This window comes from Homo sapiens, chromosome 9, assembly GCF_000001405.40.
Source record: "Homo sapiens chromosome 9, GRCh38.p14 Primary Assembly".
Lineage (NCBI taxonomy): Eukaryota > Metazoa > Chordata > Mammalia > Primates > Hominidae > Homo > Homo sapiens.
Genome location: NC_000009.12, coordinates 36,885,595 through 36,905,402, shown reverse-complemented (window position 1 = coordinate 36,905,402; position 19,808 = coordinate 36,885,595). Strand labels below are relative to the sequence as shown.

The 19,808-nt window shown below is 48.9% G+C and overlaps 1 protein-coding gene and 1 non-coding gene across 14 annotated transcripts in view, besides 1 other annotated feature; both read left to right on the top strand.

Annotated features, from left to right (window-relative positions):
* PAX5 (paired box 5) overlaps positions 1–19,808 on the top strand; it is a 201,000-nt gene that overhangs the window by 128,866 nt on the left and 52,326 nt on the right. The gene's annotated exons all lie outside the window — the stretch shown is intronic.
* Positions 4,319–4,819: an enhancer, noted in NCBI's record as "H3K4me1 hESC enhancer chr9:36900581-36901081 (GRCh37/hg19 assembly coordinates)". NCBI's record gives its function as "activates a minimal SCP1, AML or CMV promoter by ChIP-STARR-seq in primed H9 embryonic stem cells {active_cell/tissue: H9 hESC(primed)}" and the evidence as "EXISTENCE:reporter gene assay evidence [ECO:0000049][PMID:30033119]".
* MIR4476 (microRNA 4476) lies at positions 11,872–11,941 on the top strand. Its single transcript, NR_039687.1, has one exon. It is a non-coding gene; the product is annotated as a microRNA 4476 (primary transcript).

Here is a 19,808-nt window from a genome sequence, read left to right as displayed (position 1 = left end):
CCTCAGTTTTGCCGTCTGCCCAGTGGGAATTATAAATCCTGGCTCATTCTTCCCTTACGGGACTATGGTGAAGTGCACATGAAAGAAAGTGTGTGACAATGGCCCAGAAGCTGTAAGGGGCTGGGCCCTTTCTTGTGAGCTCATGGAGAGCCGGCCACCTTGACTGTGCCAGGGGTCCGGCCTCCCCGGCAGGAAAGTGAAGATGAGCTGGTCCAGGACTTTGCCTGTGAAAGGATCTCACAACACTGCTGAGGGATTTAAGAACCAGCAGGCCTGACAGTCCCTGCCCATGTGCCTTCAGTGCATGTCTCCTTGGAGCACTCCCCAAGTGCTGCCTCCTCTAGGAAGCCCTCCTCAATTACCCTACAGTCAGAAGTCATATTGCCCTTGATCAGCCCACCATTATGCCTGTTAGCCCATTGTGCCTTGATTTATAATTCTTTGTGTCCAGCCTAACTTTCTTCTTAGTCTACAAGATTCTGAATTGTCTCTGCCTTCTCCAGCACAGCCTAGTATGGGACTTGGAATATAGTATGTACTCAGGAAGTGTTTATTGAATGAATGAATGGATGAATTAATAAACCAACGAGCTGTCTGCTATGATTGGTCGTTACTAATCACGCAGCACTCCACCCTTCTAGGTCATTGTCAAGGTTATTGACATGATTCACACACTCACATACATATCTTTGATTAGCATAAAGTCACATTTGAATTCAAGATATTATCATAATTATTATTTCTTCCCAAATGCATTAGCTTCTACTAGTCTGCTGCCTTTTTTTTTTCTTGGCCAAGTTCACAGCTCAGGAAAAAAATCTCTCTCTAATTTATCTCTATTAGCTTTTATTTTCATTATCTGTGAGGCCATAGAACTTCTACTCCCACCCTGAGATCATCTATAAATGTTTAGTAAGGTTGTTTCTGGCATGAATGCTTAGGGGCACCTGCTGCCTGTCTGGATGAACCCATCCAGAGAAGTGTTTGCCTTTTCAGACCCATTAGTTCCTTTCGTATGCCTCTGTGAACCCAGGTTCAAGATGGGGTCACATGCCCATGTTAAGGATAGTGTGGCCCAGCAGCCTATTTAGGGGGCTGGTGTGTAGGATAGGGGACTAGGGAGCTCTTCCCCCAGAGTTGGTTTCAATCCTGAACAGCTAGAGAGGCAGGCCCAAGCTAGGGTCCCATGAGCCAAGAGTCACCAGCAGGAGTGATAGCTGATGCTCCCATCCACTCCCTCTGCACCATGCATTGTTCTAAGCCCTTGACTTATTAATAGCTTGTCTAATCTGCATAACAACCCTTTGTGGGAGTCACTCTTCTCATCCTCATTTCACTGGTGCAGTAACTGAGGCACAGAGAAGCATAGAAACTTGCTCAAGGTCACACAGCTTGTAAGTGGTGTAGCCAGGTTTTAAATGCCGGCAGTCAGACTCCACAGACCACACACTTGACCTCTAAGCCACACTATTCTCATAAAGCCTGGTGAGTCATGGCAGCCTGGAAGTGTGCCAGAGGAAGTCTGAGTTGGACAGACCCCTATCTGAAGAACAGAGCTGATAGGTGGATTTCAGGCCACGTGTAGGGGCCGGGACTGATGGGGCTTCTTGGGTGATATCTGATTGAAGGGTAGTGGGTTGACTCACCCCTGAAAAGCTGGCATCCCCTTAGGTCAGCCTCCTGCTCAGACAGACCTCATGCAGCCTGACCAGGCCTTAGCAGGTCCTGGGTGAAGGTTTGGTGAGTGGATGGGCAGACACAGCAGGTATGATTGCTCCTTCTTTCTTGGGAAACATGCTGTGTATTCTTTCATGTTCCTGCCTGGGCCAGGCCACCTGGACATGCCCCAGCAGCCTCAGGGCTCTCAGCCCCTGCTGTGCAGCCTCCCAGCCCTCAGGCTGTGTGTTGTCCATTGTGGGGAGCCCTGTGCTTCAAGAAACTCCCCACCTAGACCAAAGCTTTCTTCTGTTCTTTTGCTTTCAAGCAAAAAATAAAAGCATAAGAAAGATAATTGTCATTACTTAAAAACAAATATTTTAGAGATGGGGTCTCACTCTGTTGCCCAGGTTGGTCTCAAATTCCTGGGCTCAAGTGATGCTCCCACCTCAGCCTCCTGAGTAGCCGGGACCACATATGTGAGCCACCCTTCCCAGCCAACTGCTTTTCTTAAACAGACTTTCTTCCTCCTTCCTTGGTCTGGGAGAGAGAAGGCCAAGTGCCAGGGTAAGGATCATGCCACTTAGGTCTGGTTCTCTTCAGGAACAAGTCGTGAAGTCCCCAGTTCTTCACACCTGCACCCCATGGAGTTCCTGCTTTCTTATCCTCCATTGCCCGGCCTGCCTGAGAGGAGGAAGGATGCCAAGTGCTGGTGGTGAGGGGTGGGGAACCTCGGCCCAGGTCCCGGGGCAGGCCAGCAGGTGTGATCCAGGTGACTGGATTTGGGGGAAGGGGAGGGGTGAAGCCAGAGGCTGCACTTAGGGCTCTGGGCAGCTACTCTTTTCTAGCTGGATTGGCAGCCTTATGGGGTCTTTCACAACCACTAATATCAGCCCCGAATGTTATAGTTGCTCAAAAGGTGTTGCCCAAAAGAAAACCATGGTTGGCACAAATAGCCGTCTGTGCCAGTGTGGGTGGGGGTAGATTTCAAACAGATACCTGTGGCTTCATTATTTTAAAATCCGTCTTGTGCTAATGAGGCTGATGGAATAAAAGGCCCTGGTGAAACCCAGCCTAAGGCCATGGAGCCAGGGTGTGGCTTCCCATGCCCCCAACACTCCCCACTCGGATCCTGCAGCCTATTTTGGCCCCTCTCCACCTGGGCTTCAGGGCCTCTCTAAGGGCTGGGCCCATCAGTGGCCTAGTTTCTCTGTGGCCTGAGCACACTTCCAGCAGGGACAGGCTCTGCCCACGGCACCCTCCCGGATGAATCCCTTCTTTGACCTTTGTAATTATTCCTGTTCAATCTTCCTTCGTGTTTTCTTCCTCCTCCCTTTTTGAGGTGCTCAACTCCTGCACTCTCTCCAGTGTATTAAGGATGTGAGTGAAATTGATGACTGGGATGTCTCAGGTCTTTATGATGATGAATGACTTTCACTGCCAAAGCTTTTATTGTCTGTGATTTGGGAAGAAGGGGGAACTGATATATCAAGGCTGCCTGTCAGACCATTTAATACAGTTATAAATCCTGACGTCACTAACTGGTGGTCAGGAGCTGGAGAATTCCACCGCCACCGCTTTGCCGAGCCTTTATGGATTTTCTTCTTTCTCTCACCTTTCTTTGCTTGACTATCACAATTGTGTTTTGGGAGGGGGGATAGGGACAGCTAGATAGTGAATTTAAAAATCACAGGGACACCCTGGTCTAGGGAGGGGATGGGAGCCCTCCCTCACCCTTACTCTAAAAGAAGCAGCAGATAGAAGGCCTTTCATTCTAATGTGAGCAAGGAAATTGTTTGGTGAGACAAGCCCTGAAAGTATGCTAATGCCTTCTTTGCATGTGCACCACTCTCTACAGTTTACTAAGTGATTTTACATCTGTTATTTTTCAGATCCTCCTACCATCTTGGGAGGGCAGCAGGGAAAGACTTGACCCTCGTTTTACAGAAGAGGAAGCTGAGGCTCAGCAAGGCGATGTTCCTTGGCCAGGGTTATGCCACCTGGGCTGGTGACAGGAGCTCCCTGGGGTGAAGCAACAGAGCATCACCATTAGGTGTTTAGGGCGTGGGGTCGGACAGCGCTGGGCTCCAATCCCAGACCCCCCTACCTTTTAGCGGCTGACCCTGGGAAGGACACTTACATTTTCTGATACGCCATTTCCTCACCTGGAAGTGAGGCTAACACTCTCCTCATTGGGTTGTTCTGAGGGTTGTTCTAGGGTTAAATGAAATCATGCACGTGGGTTTCTAAGCTAGGCTCTTGGCTCATCAAAAGTGCTCAGTAAATGTTTTTAAAAGGTGAAATGATAAGGAGAGGCATGTGACAGATGTCACAGGTGCACAACGGGGGCCACTTCCCGAGGCTGGGTGGGAGGGCTTCCTGAGGGAGGTGACACTTGAGCACACGGAAATGAGCAGGAATTAACCAGGCTGGGGAAACAGGTGAGGGAAGAGCATTCCAGGCAGAAGGAACAGCATGATAAAGGATGAGTGAAGAAAGCAGCTGGAGATGAGGGAGGGCCCAGGTCCCTGAGGCTGCCAAAGACCTGGGGGCAGACCTTGCAGGTGCTGGGAGCCCTGAGGAGAGTCGACTCTCCAGGGGAATCTCTGTGGGGTCTTGACAGAGGGTGGAGGTAAGGAGGATGAGACTCGCAGGAAGACCTGACCTGACCCAGGTGGCTGTAAAAGCCCAGGAGAGAACGGATGAGGACCTGAACCCAGGCTGTGGAAAGGGGGATGGAGGAAACATTTTGAGGGGTGGAACTGGCAATAGTCACTTGTGAGGAACAGGTGGGCGGCCATCAACGATGCTCCCCTGGTTGGAGTCTGGGGGACCCGGGAGATAATGGAGCCAGTGGCTGAGATGAAGACCATGGAAGAGGAGCTGGTTTGAATATTTAACTTTGGGGTACCCCAGGGACACTCAGGTGGAATGTGCAGAGGCAGTGGGGGCGGGGTCAGGACTGGGGGCATGGACACAGGTGGTGGGAGGATGTGAGTCACTCAGTTGAGAGCTTTAGACAAGGACGATGGGGAGGAGCAGAGCTGGAGAGGGACTCTGGGAAACCAGGGTGGCTGAGGAGGAGGACGCCATGGAGGAGGACGCCATGGAGAAGCCCGGAGTGGGGGAGTGAGTGGTGATTGACACTCCCGCCACAGATGCGCTCCATCTTGGAGGCTGTAGCAGTCACAGGACTTCACTGTAAACAACAGAATTCTCTCTGGCTTGTTAAGCAGAAAAGGGATTTTCTAAGGATGTTAAGATGCTCAGGGTCTCCAAGAGGGCCACAGAACCAGGTTTGGAGGCTTCCCAGTCAGGCATAAGGCCTGGCCCATGCTGCAGGACTACTCTGTGAAGCGGCCATGCTGTCGCCTGTGGACGCAGACCCTTTGGTTCACACAACCGTCGCTGGACACCGGATGTCACCACTAGGACCTCCGCCTCAGCAGATGGACTCCATGTGGTGCCTGCTTCTTTGTGTCATCAGCTTCTGAATTAAAGACTCACACGCACGTGTCTACTTGGGGGACCCAAAAATATGCCTGCACCCTCACGCAAGGGAGGCTGGGAAATCACGTCTCTGACTTTGGCCTCAAGAAGCCTGAACTCTTAAAGTGGAAAATGCCCCAAACAAAAGAAGGATGTTCGATGATGTCAGGCAGCCAAAAATATTTGAAGATTTAGAGAGTGAGCAGAGAGATCCAAGGTAACAAGGCTGGAAAGAATCCATTGGCTTTGGTAGTTAGGAGGGCCTTGTTCTTCCAGCCAGTTATCTCCCATAGCCCATCCATTTCCACAGGATTTGAGGCAGCATTAAATGAAAGCCCAAGGGAATCTGCACATGGCCAGAAACCACCTGAAGAAAGGACGAAATGGTTGCACTGGATTTGGGATGGGGGTTGTGGCAGTGGAGCCCTGAAGCTCCAGGAAAGCCATAGTGAGGAGAGGAGGCTGGATCAGGAGGCCATGGGGTGGGGGCTGTCCTTCAGGACTTGAGTGACTTGCAGAGGATGCCTGGACTGGGGAAAAAGTAAGGGAGAAGAATGAAGCAAGGACCTGGTGGCCCGGCCCCAACCCTGTAGTCCTGGGGGTTGGCTGGCAGGCATTTCCCTTTGGCTAGCCCTTGGGTAGTTTCTGGGCTTTGGCTGGTGGCTTTTCTCAGTGGAGAGGTTGGAAAGTAACACCGATTGGGCTCAAAAAAAAAGCCTCCTGTCCTTATGGGCACAAAATCCCTAGCACTGAGCGCAGGCTGGGCTCAGAGGAGTGGCCTGGGAGATGTTTTCTGAGTGAAAGAAAGAATGAGCCTAGGCATTTGTTTAGCTTCAGCTCTGCGCCAAACATCGTGATGGGTACCACAGGGAAACAGAAGTGAGCAGGACATAGTACCTGCACCAGAAGGGTTAGGTCTAGTGTCTTCTACTAGACAGCTGTCCCAGCAGTCTGACATGTGCTGGGCTGTGGAGCAGCATGGCTCTGAGAGCACTGAAGAAGGAGCATGGGACTGTGGGGGACAGGACCAGGGCATCTGGGGGGTCTTTCACAGGAGATGATATTGGTGGCATTTGCCTGGCGCCTGCCAGGACTCTGCGGCAACATTTGCTAAGGCATGGAGGCGAGTTGGGGGAAAGCAAGCCATTTAGGGCTGTGGTGCTGGTGGGGGTGCTGGAACCTATACCACCCCAGTAGAGATGCTTGGGAAAAGGCAGGAGGAGAGGGCATGAGGGGTCTGGACTTCATCCAGAGGTGATGGGGAGCCAAGGAGTGCAGGGTCCCATGGATCAGAGGTGGCTGGAGCCAGGCAGGGGTTCAGCTGGGCTGCGGTGGCGATGGGTGTCTGCAGTGCGGCTGGAGTTGGCTGTGGATGACACCCCCAGACTCTGCCCCAGGGGTGTTAGTGGGAGAGGCTGGGCCAGTGGGTGCCAGGATGTCCGGGCCAGGCCTTCTTGCCCAGGGCCGCCCCCAGAGCCTGCTGGGTGCCCTCATTATGCCCCCTCATGTGGCGAGGAGAGCCGGGAGCTGCAATCAAGACGCCGGGTGCCTCCTGCTGGTGTTCGGAGAGCGGGCAAACCACATGAGATCCCATCTCGCGCATAATGTGCATCCGAGGACAAAATTAGATTGAGAAGTAAATGGAGCCGAAAATTTCCAAAGCATTTCCCGTCAAGAAGCTGTTTGATTGCATGTTTTAATTCTCCTAGTCCTCCTGCCCGGTGAGCTTCAATTTGGTGGGGATGGCTGGGGCAGAAGGAGCCTGTGATGGGAGGGGTTGCTGGGGTTCTGGGGCCCGGAGACCAGAGGGAAGAAGAGAGGCCCTTTACACATGTGAATGCAGACCCCACGTGCCTCCTTCTCCAGGTGATGTGGCTCAGACCTCAGACAACCCTGTGAAGATAGTGCCACTAGCCCCAATTTGTAGACAAGAAAACTGAGGAGCAGAAATTAACCTGCCTGAGGCCGCATAAATAATATGCAGTTGGCTGGGCTGGGCTGGCAAGCACTGGCCTGTGGAACTTTAAAACTAAAGCTCGTGCTGAGTTGGATTACACGTTTGAATGTTCTATTTTCTTTCTTTTCTTTTGTTTTAACCAGAAGACTGCCTTGTTCCTCTTTCTCATTCTCTTTCCTTCCCTCTTTCCATCCTCCATTTCCAAACCCAGGAACAAACCATGGGAGGCAGAGCAAGGGGCATGGTTCCCATTTTCAGGATTGTAAAGCAAGGCTCATCGAGGCACAGGCATTTGCTGGTAGCACAGAAGGAAAAAGTTAGAGTCAAATTCTGTGAAGTCGGATTTCTGTGTGTGTTGCCCCTGACCAGTAGGCTCAAGGATGGCTCAGCCCTATCTCCCGGGCTCCAGGGACACGGCTGACTTTGGCCAAGTCTGCAGAGCCCAAGAAGATGCTGGCATTCTTAGATCTACTCACAAAAGAAAGTGTTGTAATTCTCGTCATCAGGGACATGAGCGCCCTGGACTACTGGAAGAAAATTGAGCATCAGTTTCTTGAGCTTGAGAGGTGTTCTGTGAAGACAGAGGGAAGGGCAGGAAAGCAACAGAGAAAACCTGGGAAAGGAAACCTGGATCAGGATCCATGCTGGGTCCAGGACCCAAACCTGGCTGTGCACAGCCCTCTGGGCAAGACCCTGCCCTTGCAGGAGTTTCTTCTTCTCACCTGCAGAATAGGCATTTAGTGATTTTTTTTTTTTAGCAACTGTTAAGGTTTTGTTTTTTTCTTGCTTGTGTGTGTATGTGTGTGTGTGTTTGAAGAAACCTTTATTCAGATGAATCTTCCTGGGAAGCCTGATGTAAACTAGTTAGAAGTGAGGTTCACTGGTTGAAAGAATGGGAGCTCCAGAGGTCCCTGAGGTCCCCCTGGAGGCTCATGGGAACAGATCGACCCCTCCCCCAAACTGGTTGAACTTTAGCATCCTTCGAGCTCCGGTGCTCCCTGATTCCACAGCGGTTTTCCAGCCAGCGTGAAGGCCGCTCACAGTCGCATGTCCTCTGCTAAGCCCAGCTCGGTTCCTACCTCTGGGCCCACAGCCCTCACACCTTACCCACAGCTGCTGCCTGGACCCGAGGAAGCTCAGACTGAGTCCCAGGCACATCTGCCATTCCAGGCTCACAGGAGGCAGCAGTCAGATGCCCACTGCATTGCCCACTCTGCCCCAACTCAGCCCGAATCTCCTTCTAGGTCCTCCTGAAGGAACCCTACACACTGAGGCCCTGTTTCAGTGCCTTCTCCTCCAGAAGGTCTGCAGTCTGACTGCAGGAACCGAATCTCAGATCTGCTCTTTGCTACATGTGAGAGCTTGCGCAGGACCCTTCACCTCTTGGAGCCTCAATTTCCCCATCTATGGACAAATTGAACCCAGGCCTGATTGGCTCTTGTACCTGTCCCCACATGGAGTTCCCTGTTTAGTGGCGTCCCTACCCCTGCACTGTACAAAGCACTTTCACTTCTGTGATCCCATTTGGGGCTCTGATTACCCATGAGGGAGGCAGGGCAGGGGTGATCAATCATGTTTTACAAAGTGGAAACCGAGACCCAGAACCAGCAGTGGCCTGCAAGCAAGAGCCTGAGCTAGGCTGGTGGCTAGCAAAAGCAGCCGGTGATTCTGTGAGATAGTTCGGCCCTGGCACCTGATCTGCTTCTCAGGGAAGGGAGGGCTGGAGAGGGATGGGCTGGCACTTTGGTAGCCTGCAGCACCAGCCTAGCAGCACAATTTAATGCATGTTCTCTGCAGCACATTAATTTGCTGTGCACCCTGGGAGGTGCCTCTGTGGGATGGGCTTGGTTTTCCTTGGCGAGCAGTGCACCTGCTCAGCCTGCCTGTCTCGTATGGGCCTCCTTGCTGCTTGGTTTGAGGAAATAATTGGAGGTGTAGGAGCTGGCGTTACAAAATATCAGCGTTGTCTGTTTGGACTTTCTTGGTTCCAAGCCTGGCACTGTGACATCGACTATCCCGTTGCCCCCTGGACCAGCTGAGGCACTGGTTTAGGATTCGTGATGGGCCTCAGTCCCTTTACAAGAAATCAGAAGCCTATCAGAGGCTTGGATACTTACCTATTGACTTTTTCTTAAAATAATATGAGCTGTCAGCCGGTCCTGGACAAAGGGCAGAGAAGCCGATGACTATGGATTCCTCCTGTCTCTGCAGCATTAGCTGATCTCCCTCTGGTGGGTGGCCTGGGGTTGGGCATCAGGTGCACAGGTGAGGACATTTACAGAGGAGAGGGGACCTGCCCGAGGGCACAGTGAGGAAGTGCGGGGTTTTCTGACTCCTAGTCCAGGGCTGGCTGTACCTCCATGGGCTTTGCACTTGGTCCCCCAGCCCTGAACTTACCCCTTAGCTTCAAAGATCCAGTAGGTCCCTCCCACCATGCCTGATTTCATTGCAAACACATCTTAGATTTGAGCCCCAGGAGGGGCTTTTTGCCCAGTGGAACTTGGTGGTTAAGAGCACAGACTGCTAGGGTTTCTAATCCTAGAAACCCCCAACCTGTCACATTTTCTGCCAGTGCAACCATGGGCAAGTTACTTCACTTCTCTCAGCCTCCATTGCCTCCTCTGTACATTGGTGGCAGTAACAGGCATCAGAGGTAATAACTGACATTTGGGAGCACTTACATGGGCCAGGCGGCTTCCTAAGTGCTTTACATGCATTGAGTCTTGAATCCTTTTAAGCAGTCTAAGGAGGTATCATTATCCCCATTTTATAAATGAGAACACTGAGGTGTAATCTTGCCCAAGGTTATAGAACAACTAGTAATTTTAATCCAAAGAATCTGCTCCAGACCTTTTGCCCTTCACCGCTAGGCTGAGCCTCTTAACAAGGACAATAATAATAGTGATCATTTCTACCTCATACGATTGTTCTGATGACTAAATGAGGTGACGCAAGTAAGGCATTTAGAAGAGTTTCTGGCAAATAGAAAGATCCCAGTGCTGGCCACCATTCTTCATGTACCTCGCATGCATTCGGCGGATTCGGCGGCACACACAGGCATGGGGTGAACCGCTCCAGAGGCCTCCACCTTTGTGCACAGGCCTGCTTCCCTCTGCGCCTCTCGTCTTCCGCATTTAGACCACATGTTTTATTCGGACCCCGGAGCTGGCAGAGGTTTAGCACAAATGAAAGCGTGTGGTAGGGAGGTGCAGCGAGTGTGAGTGGGCCATGGGCACCAGCCTATGTTTGTTCCCAGAGCTGTCTCACTCACTCGGCCCTCGCCACCACTCCATCAGAGAAGGACTGTTGGGGTTCCCCTTCCTCCTCCCTTAGACGAGGAAAGGAAGGCGGGGTCACCTGCCCAAGGTCACACGGCTGGTAAGTGGCAGAGCTGGGATTTGAGCCCTCAGAGCCCATGCTCTTAGCTGTGTGTGTAAGCAGTGGGGAGCCATCGAGGATTTCTGACAGCAGCTCGATGTGAACAGAGCTGTGCTTTCCAAGCCCAATCTGGCTTTGCTTTTGGGATGGCCCGAGGGTGGCTGTGGAGCGCAGGAGGCACGGTTAACAATGGTGGCCTTACTGAGTGTTCACTCTGTGCTGGGCCCTGTGCTAGGGGCCTTACCTGTATTTGTTAATTTAATCCATGTGACAGCACTGTGAGGAAGATAGGATCGTCCTCATTTTATAAATGCAAAACCTGACACACAGAGAGGCGAAATGACTTGCTGGAGATCACATGGCCAGTGAGTGTGGAGCCAGGATCTGAGTGGAGACCACCAGCCCTGTGGCTCTTGTCCCATCGCACACTGCCTACCATCCCACATGGCCCCCTTTACAAAGATTTCACATCCCCAAATCCAGAAGGCCAGTCTGGGGAATGCTATCCTTTCTGTGCTTTCATGTATTTATTCTATTTTTTCATTTAGCCATTATCTTGTTTACATAAAATCTATCTCCCAGGAAGGGAGACTTTCCCAACCATTAGATTTGACAGGTATGTTCTGAATTAGCAGCTCCTACCCAGGGTGGGCAAGAGGTGCTGGGCAAACATGTGATGGGAATACTGCCAGCCCTGGGCAGGAGAACATGGGGTGGCCGCCAAGTTTCGGACCAGCCCCGGGACTCTGTGATTCTGAAACATGAGGCGTCTTTGGATTTGTCTTCCATGTTCACCGGCCAGTTTGGAGATGGCTTGATATAGGCATGTACCAAAACCAGGAGTGGGGGCGTGGCGGGTCTCGATCAGCAACCAACCTCCTGGAGGTCTTTCTGTTGCCTTGCACTGCACAAGGGCTCTCCAGGGAGCCACTCTGGACCCAGATGGACAGTTGGGCTCTCTCCACATGCTAATTATGATTACATAGGTTTGTCAAACACTGGTTTGTCCTATCAGTTTCTTGGATAAGAGGTGCATAATATCATGTTGAAGTGACATACCGTCACCGTCCTCTGATGACAAAGGTTCATCTTTGGGAACCAGCATTACTGAACCTCGCCGATACAGTAGCGAAGGCTCTGCACGTCTGTAAGTGGGCGGCTCATCCTTCCACCAAGTACCCCAGACTATCGCGGCTTGGGCTTCTTATGTCTGATTATATTGTTTTCCTGTCTCTGTCCTTGCTGCTCACCTGCCACCTGTCACTTTTCCTAATGTCAGTTTCCTAGCCATAGAAGTCTCTTTCCTTCCAATTTTGCTGTTTTTAATCTGCTGGGGGCTGGGAAGCCAAGCCACTGAGCTCGTCGGAACTATGTGCAAATGAAAGTGGGCAAAAAGCCTGTCCCTAAGTCCCTCCCAGCCTTCCAGAGTTGGTGCCAGGAAGGATTTAGGGACAGGCTTTGTGCCCACTTTTGGCTACTCATAGCCGGATTGCAGGGGCTGGGATTGTTCATGGTGCATTTCAGATCGGTAGGGCAGGCCACCACAGAGGTCTGGATGCCAGCCTGGGAGAGGCCTGGTGGGGACATGAGCTCTGAGTATGCAACTTGGCCAAGGTGCTGCTGGCATCGTGATGCTGTCCTTGAACGCGAGAAGTTCCTGCCATGACACTGGCCTGAGAGCGGCTGCAGTGGGGGCAGGGGGCAACTGCACTTCATACATCTTGGTTCATTATTATCTCTTCTTCTAGAGTGTGAGTGAGCCCCTTGGGCACGGACTGTGTTTAGTTTTAAGAAAACATTAATTTTAACTCAAAAAGTTAATTTGGAATAAAAAGTAATACACACATGTGGTTAAATATTCAAGCCATACAGAAAAATAGAAAATGAAAAATAAATCTCCCACTCCCAACCTAAGCCCTCCCATCTGTAATCCCTCTCCCCAAAGTTAACAGTGTCTTCTGTATATTTTCAGTAACATTTTAATTCCTCTATCCGCCTCCAGATTTTATCCTCTTTTTACTAGCACAGATGGAATTATACTGTACACAGTGTTCTTCCACACTTGCCTGTTCACTTAGTAGTTTCCCTTGGAGATCGCTCCACAATTTCCACAATCAAATCTACCTCATTGTTTCTCAAAACTGTATAATAAATATTCCACCACAGGCAAGTATCATAATTTATTTATCCCAGCAATAAGGATTGCTGCCTTCCTTCCTTCCCATGAAATATCTTGGTGTATTTTTCTGTGTGTTTCCATAGGTGAAGTCCTAGAAGCTGACTGGTCACAGGGGAGCGTGCATTTTGTATTCTGTGATTCACCTACTGAAACAATCGTGTGTGTGAGGCAGGAGTGACTGGCTCTGAAGTCAGCCTCAGCCTGCATCCAGCTCACCTCTTAAGAGCTGAGTACCTTATCTGCAAACTGGGGATTGTAAAGCTTGATGATATCTCCTGGAGTGGCTGCGGTACTTAAATGAGATAATACATACAAAGTGCTTAGAACAATGCTTGGCGCTAAGAGCTGTGTAAAGGATAGTTGCTGTTGTTTTGGTTGTTATTGTTACTGTTATCATCTTTGCATCCTTTAGAGCACTCAGGACAGTGTTTAGAACTTAGTGTCAGATAATGCATGAATGAGTGAACGAATGAATAAAGTCACGAGCTAGCCCACTTTGCCCTGGGAATCCTTGCGCCATAAATACTGCCTTCCTCCTGTCTCTGGAGCAGTCCCCGTCGTGGCAGGGAGGCCCAGAGCCATCAGTGTGGTAGAGCTGCTTTGCTGCTTTCCTAATTAGAACCCTGACTTTGTCATTTCATTAAGTTGGCTCAACAGTTGCTGGTTCCGGGGGCTGGTGTCATACATGTGCATGGAAATATAGACTGAGTCCCAGTGTCTGCTCTAAAATGCCAGGCAGGTGAAATTCAAACACGCTTCCAAAATTGAAACACAGTATTGGAGTGTGATAGTTCCAGAGATTCCAGGGAGGTGGGTGCGGTCAATTCAGAGGAAGGAGTGAGGAGGGTTAGCAAAGTAAACAGCTCCCTGGTTAGTGGATTCTGAGATTGTCTTCCTGGCTCTACAAATCCAGATTAGATCTTTAGCCAGGGCAATTAGAAGGAGGTCAGTCAGAATTAGTTAAAAGTGGGGATTAGGTAATTTTGGGAAAAGAAATTGAGGGTTACTATTCCTAAGTCAATAACACCACCCAAACTAATGGCTAATAAACCTGTCATTAGGAGCCTGCCAGATCCGCTTTAATGACTGGATACAGCTCATCTGCAATTAGCACATCCATTGTCTGCAGGCAGAGGTAGGCTGTTACATCACCATTCCCACTGCCCTTCCCCTCCGGGTGAAATATTCCCCCTCTGCATCTACCGTCAGCAGCATACCCTCCACTAGTGGCAGGTCTGGACAAAGGGAGACTCCAGAGCAACCCTGTTCAAACTGCCACACATTTCCAACACCAGCTGGAACGAATAAGCCTGGCGGCGTATGCACTACGTGTACACACGCACCGACGTGTGCGTAGCAGGATGAATCCCCGCCCCACGTCCTGGGTATTGAGCTGTTTCTCCCCCTCTCCCTAAGGTGGCACTTGTTCACTGTCATCTGCTTCGGGGTTTGTTGAAAATCTTCAGCTCATGTCATTGTCTTTGGCATTGTTCACCTTTTCCTACAACAGGTGTCAAAATATACTTCAGAAAAAGTTAAAAGCATAACTCTTGTACAAATATAAAGTGAACAATATGTAAAATGAAGTTTTTTTTTGTTTTTTTGGAGATGAAGTTGCGCTCTGTCGCCCAGGCCGGAGTGCAGTGGCGCAATCTCGGCTCACTGCAACCTCCACCTCCCAAGTTCAAGCAATTCTCCTGCCTCAGCCTCCTGAGTAGCTGGGACTACAGGCGTGCACCACCATGCCCAGCTAATTTTTGTATTCTTAGTAGAGATGGGGTTTCGCCATGTTGTACAGGCTGGTCTCAAACTCCTGACCTCAGGTGATCCTCCTGCCTTGGCCTCCCAAAGTTCTGGGATTACAAGTGTGAGCCACTGCGCCCAGCCTAAAATGAAGATTTTATTTCATTTGCAGACTGACCACTCCCATCTCCTTCTGTAAGTGCCTTATGCTTATCCTCCTTTCACTCGGGTTTAATTCAGGGGCTCCAGGAAGTCTGATGCTGTGGGCAAGAGTGTGGAGGCCACAGCGAGCAGGCACTGCCATATCTGTCTCTGTAGGAATTGATACCCACCTTCTTTTCCATCAACATGGGGGTGAAATGATGCCACCGACTTATGGAATGTTACTGTGGAAAAAACCCTCAGAGGCCATCTGTTCCCACTGCTTGAGTATTCAGATAACCAAGGCCCAGAAACCAAGGCCCAGAGAGGGGGTGAAGTTTACCTGAGGTCACACAGCAATCCGTGTTGCCTGGAGTGTGCAGGCTTCCTGGACCTTAGGAGTCCCCAGCAGACAGAGTTGCCAGTTCGCAAAGAGCTCTGCCTTTCCCAGCCAGTTCCCCCATATTCCCTTATAGTTTGGGCCTTGTATGCTAAGATCTCCCTCCTCTGGGCAGGACCTCTTGCCCCAGGGCTGTCAAGGCTGGCAGACCCTCTCGGGCCATCAAGCCATCACCAGGATCCCGCCCCCACCTCTCATCTTGTTCACAATAATTAATGGCTGCTCGATGGCTTGCTTCCTTCTTTCTCTCACTCACACACACAGTCAGGTAGATGGAGGGGGAGTTTGGTTGGTGCCCTATGGTATTCAAAGTGAAGGGTTTTCACACTGTCAGGGTAATGAATTCTGCAAGGGTTTGAAGCGAAGGACTGGGAGGATTTCTGTGTCATGTGTCTGGGAGTGACAACCCCCAGTGGTTAATTACTGCCACACGATGAGAACCGAGCTGGTAGCAAAATGAGATAAGTTCATTATGAGCTAAATTTGAAGTTAATTGGATTCACATTCCCCCCCCCCCCGTTAGTGTACATAGAGAGAGCCTACCTAGAAATGGGCTCTATGAAAAAGAAAAAGAAAAAGTTGCGTCTAAGCAAAAACTGATCAATCAGGCCTGGTTATTTTGTGGAGTTCGTGATGAAGGGCTTTCTGAGACGCTGATGCGAAGAGAAGCATAGTTCCTTCAGAAGAGCAGACCCAATGTCATATGATTAATTTCATCTTGGCAAACGTTTTCTGAGTACCTACTGTGTGCCAGGCCAGTGCAAGGGAAACAGGAATGAGAGCAGTTCTTGATCTCTGGGGACTTCCAGTCTAGAAGCAGGAGAAGGATGGGTGCCCAATGCTGGGGGATTGTGAAGGCATCTGGTGCCAGAACGCCTCCGTTTGGATAAGGGTCCATTTGTGACTAGCTGTGGGAACTTGGGCAGGTGCCTAATCTCGCTGTGTTTTAGTTTCCACATCTGTAAAATGGGGATAACAATAGGGTTCACCTTACAGAGTTTTTGAGGATGAAATGAATCTATATTTACAAAGCAGAGTGAATATTGTTTAGAACACTGCTTAGTGTAGAGCCTTGTCTGGCATACAGTAAATTCTACAAAAATATTAGCTGTTATTGTTATTATTATCAGCCGTGCAACCTTGGGTACATCAACTGCTTGGGAGCCTTCATTTCCTCATTTGTAAAATGGGGATTATAACCGCAACCTTATGGGGTTCTTGTATTGAATGAGGTTAAGACATGGAAGTGCCTGGCCAGGGCCTGGCTTGTGGGAACTCCAAGGAGGCTGGAGCTCTGTGGGTTGACCAGTCACCAAGGGGGCCCAGGTTCAGGGTAAAGGATCATAGACCTCACTTCTCCATGAGAAGAGTAACAAAGAATTTGCAGACATGTTTTAATCCTGTTACAGAGAGTACCATTGTTACACTCCCAATAAATACCCTCTTTTTCCAATTATCAAAGAAAGCCCCATGCTCAGATCGTTGTATTACCTGCCAGAGGTCACACAGCGAGTAAGTGGTGGAGCTAAGATTTGAAGCCAGGCCTGTGTGACTCCAAACTCCACCCCTCCCTGCAAGGCTCAGGGGCCTAGATTTGGCTCTGGAGGCAACGGGGGAGCCTGTGTGAAAGGGAGAGCAGATGTGGGTGGCTTCATGCCCCCTCAAGCCTGCCGCCTGCAGAGCTGCCTGGAGGTCTCCTCCCTGGGGTCAGGTCTGCCCTCTGGATGCCAGGTCTTCCACCAGCGTCAGCCATAGCGTGCCTCTGCCCAGCCTGCCCTCTCCCCAGATGCAGCCTGAGACTTTATATCTTCCCTTCATGTCTTTGCCTGTTGAGCATTTCCCAGCCCCAGCCCTAGGCAATCACGAATCTACCTTTTGTCGGTAGATTTGCCTATCTTGGACATTTGTATGAATATATTCACACAATACATAGTCTTTTGTGACTGGCTTCTTTCACGTAGCATAGTCATTTCAAGTTCATTATGAATGTTGCTACTGTAGTATGTATTGGTATTTCACTCTGTTTTATTGCCAAATATTCCATTGTATGGACATACTACATTTTCGTTATGCATTCATCAATTGATGGATATCTGAGCTGTTTCCACTTTTTGGCTATCATGAATAATGCTGCCACCAACATTTGTGTACAAGTTTTTATGTGGACATACGTTCTTATTTCTCTGGGGTGTACACCTAGGAGTGGGAATTGCTGGGTCACGTGGTAACTCGATGTCTAAGAACTGCCAGACTTTTCCAAAGCAGCTGTACCATTTTACATTCCTACCAGCAGTGTTTGAGGGTTCCGATTTTCCCCATCTTTGCCAATGATTGTGACAATATGTCTTTTTGACTGTGACCTTCCCAGTGGGTATGAAGTGGTGTTTTATTGTGGTTTGGATTTGCATTTCCCTGAGAGCTAATGATGTTGAACATCTTTTCATGTGCTTGTTAGCCATTTCATTTATTCTTCTTTAGACAAATGCCTATTCAGTTGCTTTGCTCATTTTAAAATTGGATTATTTGTCTATTATTGAGCTGCAAGAGTTCTTTATATATTCTAGATACAAGTCCTTTATCAGACATATGATTTGCAAATATTTTCTCCCATTCTATGGGTCATTTTTTCACTTTCTTGGTAGTATCCTTTGAAGCACAAAAGCTTTTAATTTTGATGAAGTCCAGTGTATCTATTTTTTTGTTTGTGTCATATCCAATAAACTATTGCCGAATCCAGGGTCATGGAGATTTATGCCCATATTTCCTTCTAAGAATTTTGTACTTTTAACTCCTACATTTAGGTCTTTGATTCATTTTTGAGTTAATTTTTGTAGTGTGTGTGCATCTGGTTTCAAATCATAGTTAGAAAGTCTTTCTGCACCTGGATTAGAGAGGAATTCACCTGTATTTTCTTCTAGTACTTGTAGAGTTTTATTTTTTTACATTTATTTCTCAGTTCTATTTGTAGTTTATTCTTATATATGGTGGGAAGAGTTGATCTATTTTATCTTTTTTCCCAGATGGCTTTCCAGTTGTCCTAACACCATTTATAAAAAGTCCATATTTGCCCCAGTGATTCGAGATCCTACCTTCATCGTATGCTAGATTTCCATATAATCTATGCATTGGATTATTGGGTCCATAATCCAATATGGATTGGATCTTTTGAGCCTTTGTTTAAATTTTTCATTCTATTCCATTGGTTTTTTCTTCAGGTGCTGGTATCACAATATTAATTATAAAGACTTCATAGAATGTTTTAGCATCTGGGAGGGCTAGTCCCCTCGAGGGGAAACATTTTTAATAATCCTACAATAATAGCATTTAAGTAGAAATCATGAGATCTGAATTGAAGTCCCTGTTCTACCGCTTACTCTGTGACTTTGGGCCAGTCAAAACTCATCCCTGAGCCTCAGTTTCCTCATGTATACAACAGGGGCAGATCCCTGTTCTTCCCCTTCCTCTCAGGATTGCAAAGAGTGAGTTATTTCAAACCAAATGTGTCTCTTCTGGAGGAGTGGCCTTTGTGTTGAGTTTCACTGTTCTGCCTGGACTCCTTGCTGATAGTAAGCAAAGCCAAGTCTTGGTTATTCTCCCTGGTAAGAGAAGGCCACGCATGAGTTAGAAAAGATGTACTTACGTGCCATTAATAGGAGGAATTATGTTAGGAATGCAAATTGATTCATTTTAGTTAGTTATTTGCAAACTTATTATAGGCCATCAATAACATTCAGTGCCATTGCAAATGATACAAATAATTTCTTCCTTGGTTAAAAAAAAATGAAAGAAATGTGTGCTTTGAGGTCATAGCATGTTTAGAAGCATTAAATCTGGTTTCCCATCCCAGTCCAGAGGCTTGAATTAGAGCTAAGAAGGGGGAGTAGCATCTCCTTAGCTGCCTTGTGTTGACAGGTTGTAAACCCCAACCCTGGCGACATGCCTAAGACATGTTAGGGAAGGGACTGAGAAGGTGAAACTGCCTGTGTCCTCCAAGGTCACAGACTCCTCAGCTTGGTGCCGGGAGAGTTCTGATGGGCCTCAGAGCAGATCTGAGGCTTGAATTCATAAGACTGGGTTCCCCAACCAGGCGTGGGGATCAGCCTCTGCCTGGAATTTGATACGTGTTCTTAGAGGTTCCAGGCAGCAAGCTTTTAAGTAGAGAACAGTGATGACATTTATTAAATCTTTGTCAATCAGCAATTGCCACCACATTGCTGCTTAGCAAATGCCCCCCAAACTCAGGTCTTAACACAGTAATCGTTTATTCTTGCTAGTGCACTTGGGGTCGGCTGGGGATTGGCTGCACCAGGCTGGGCTGGGTTCCAGTCACAGTTTGGGTCCATCTCTGCTCCACATGTGCCCCCTCTCCTTGGACCTGCAGGCTAGCCAGGACATATTCTCAGGATAAGGGAGAAGGGCACCCAGCCACACAAGCACACATCAAGCTTCTGCTTGCCGAGTGCTCCCATCCCATTGGCCAGAGCAAGGCACACGGCTGAACCTAAATTTAAGGGTCAGAGGAGGCCACTGTGCTCTAGCAGGAAGAGCTGCAAAGGGTTCCTTTTGTTTTTTCATAAAACTGAATTTATTTGGTTTTAAAAACCAGTTTAATATATGTCCTTCCTACTTTTTGGTGTTAAATTACTATTTCTTTTTCAAGCTGATGGTGGTGAGGGTGGGGTGAAGAATTACCTTCCACACTGTGCCATGCGCTTCTCACACATCTTCCCTCTGCCTCCTTACCACAGCCTTATGAAGAAGGCATGCTTCTGTGTGGTTGCAGAGATGGCACAGGGCAGGGGTGGAGAGGGCAGGCTTGCAAGCCAGACTGGCTGGGTTTGAAACCTTGCTTTTTAATATTCTAG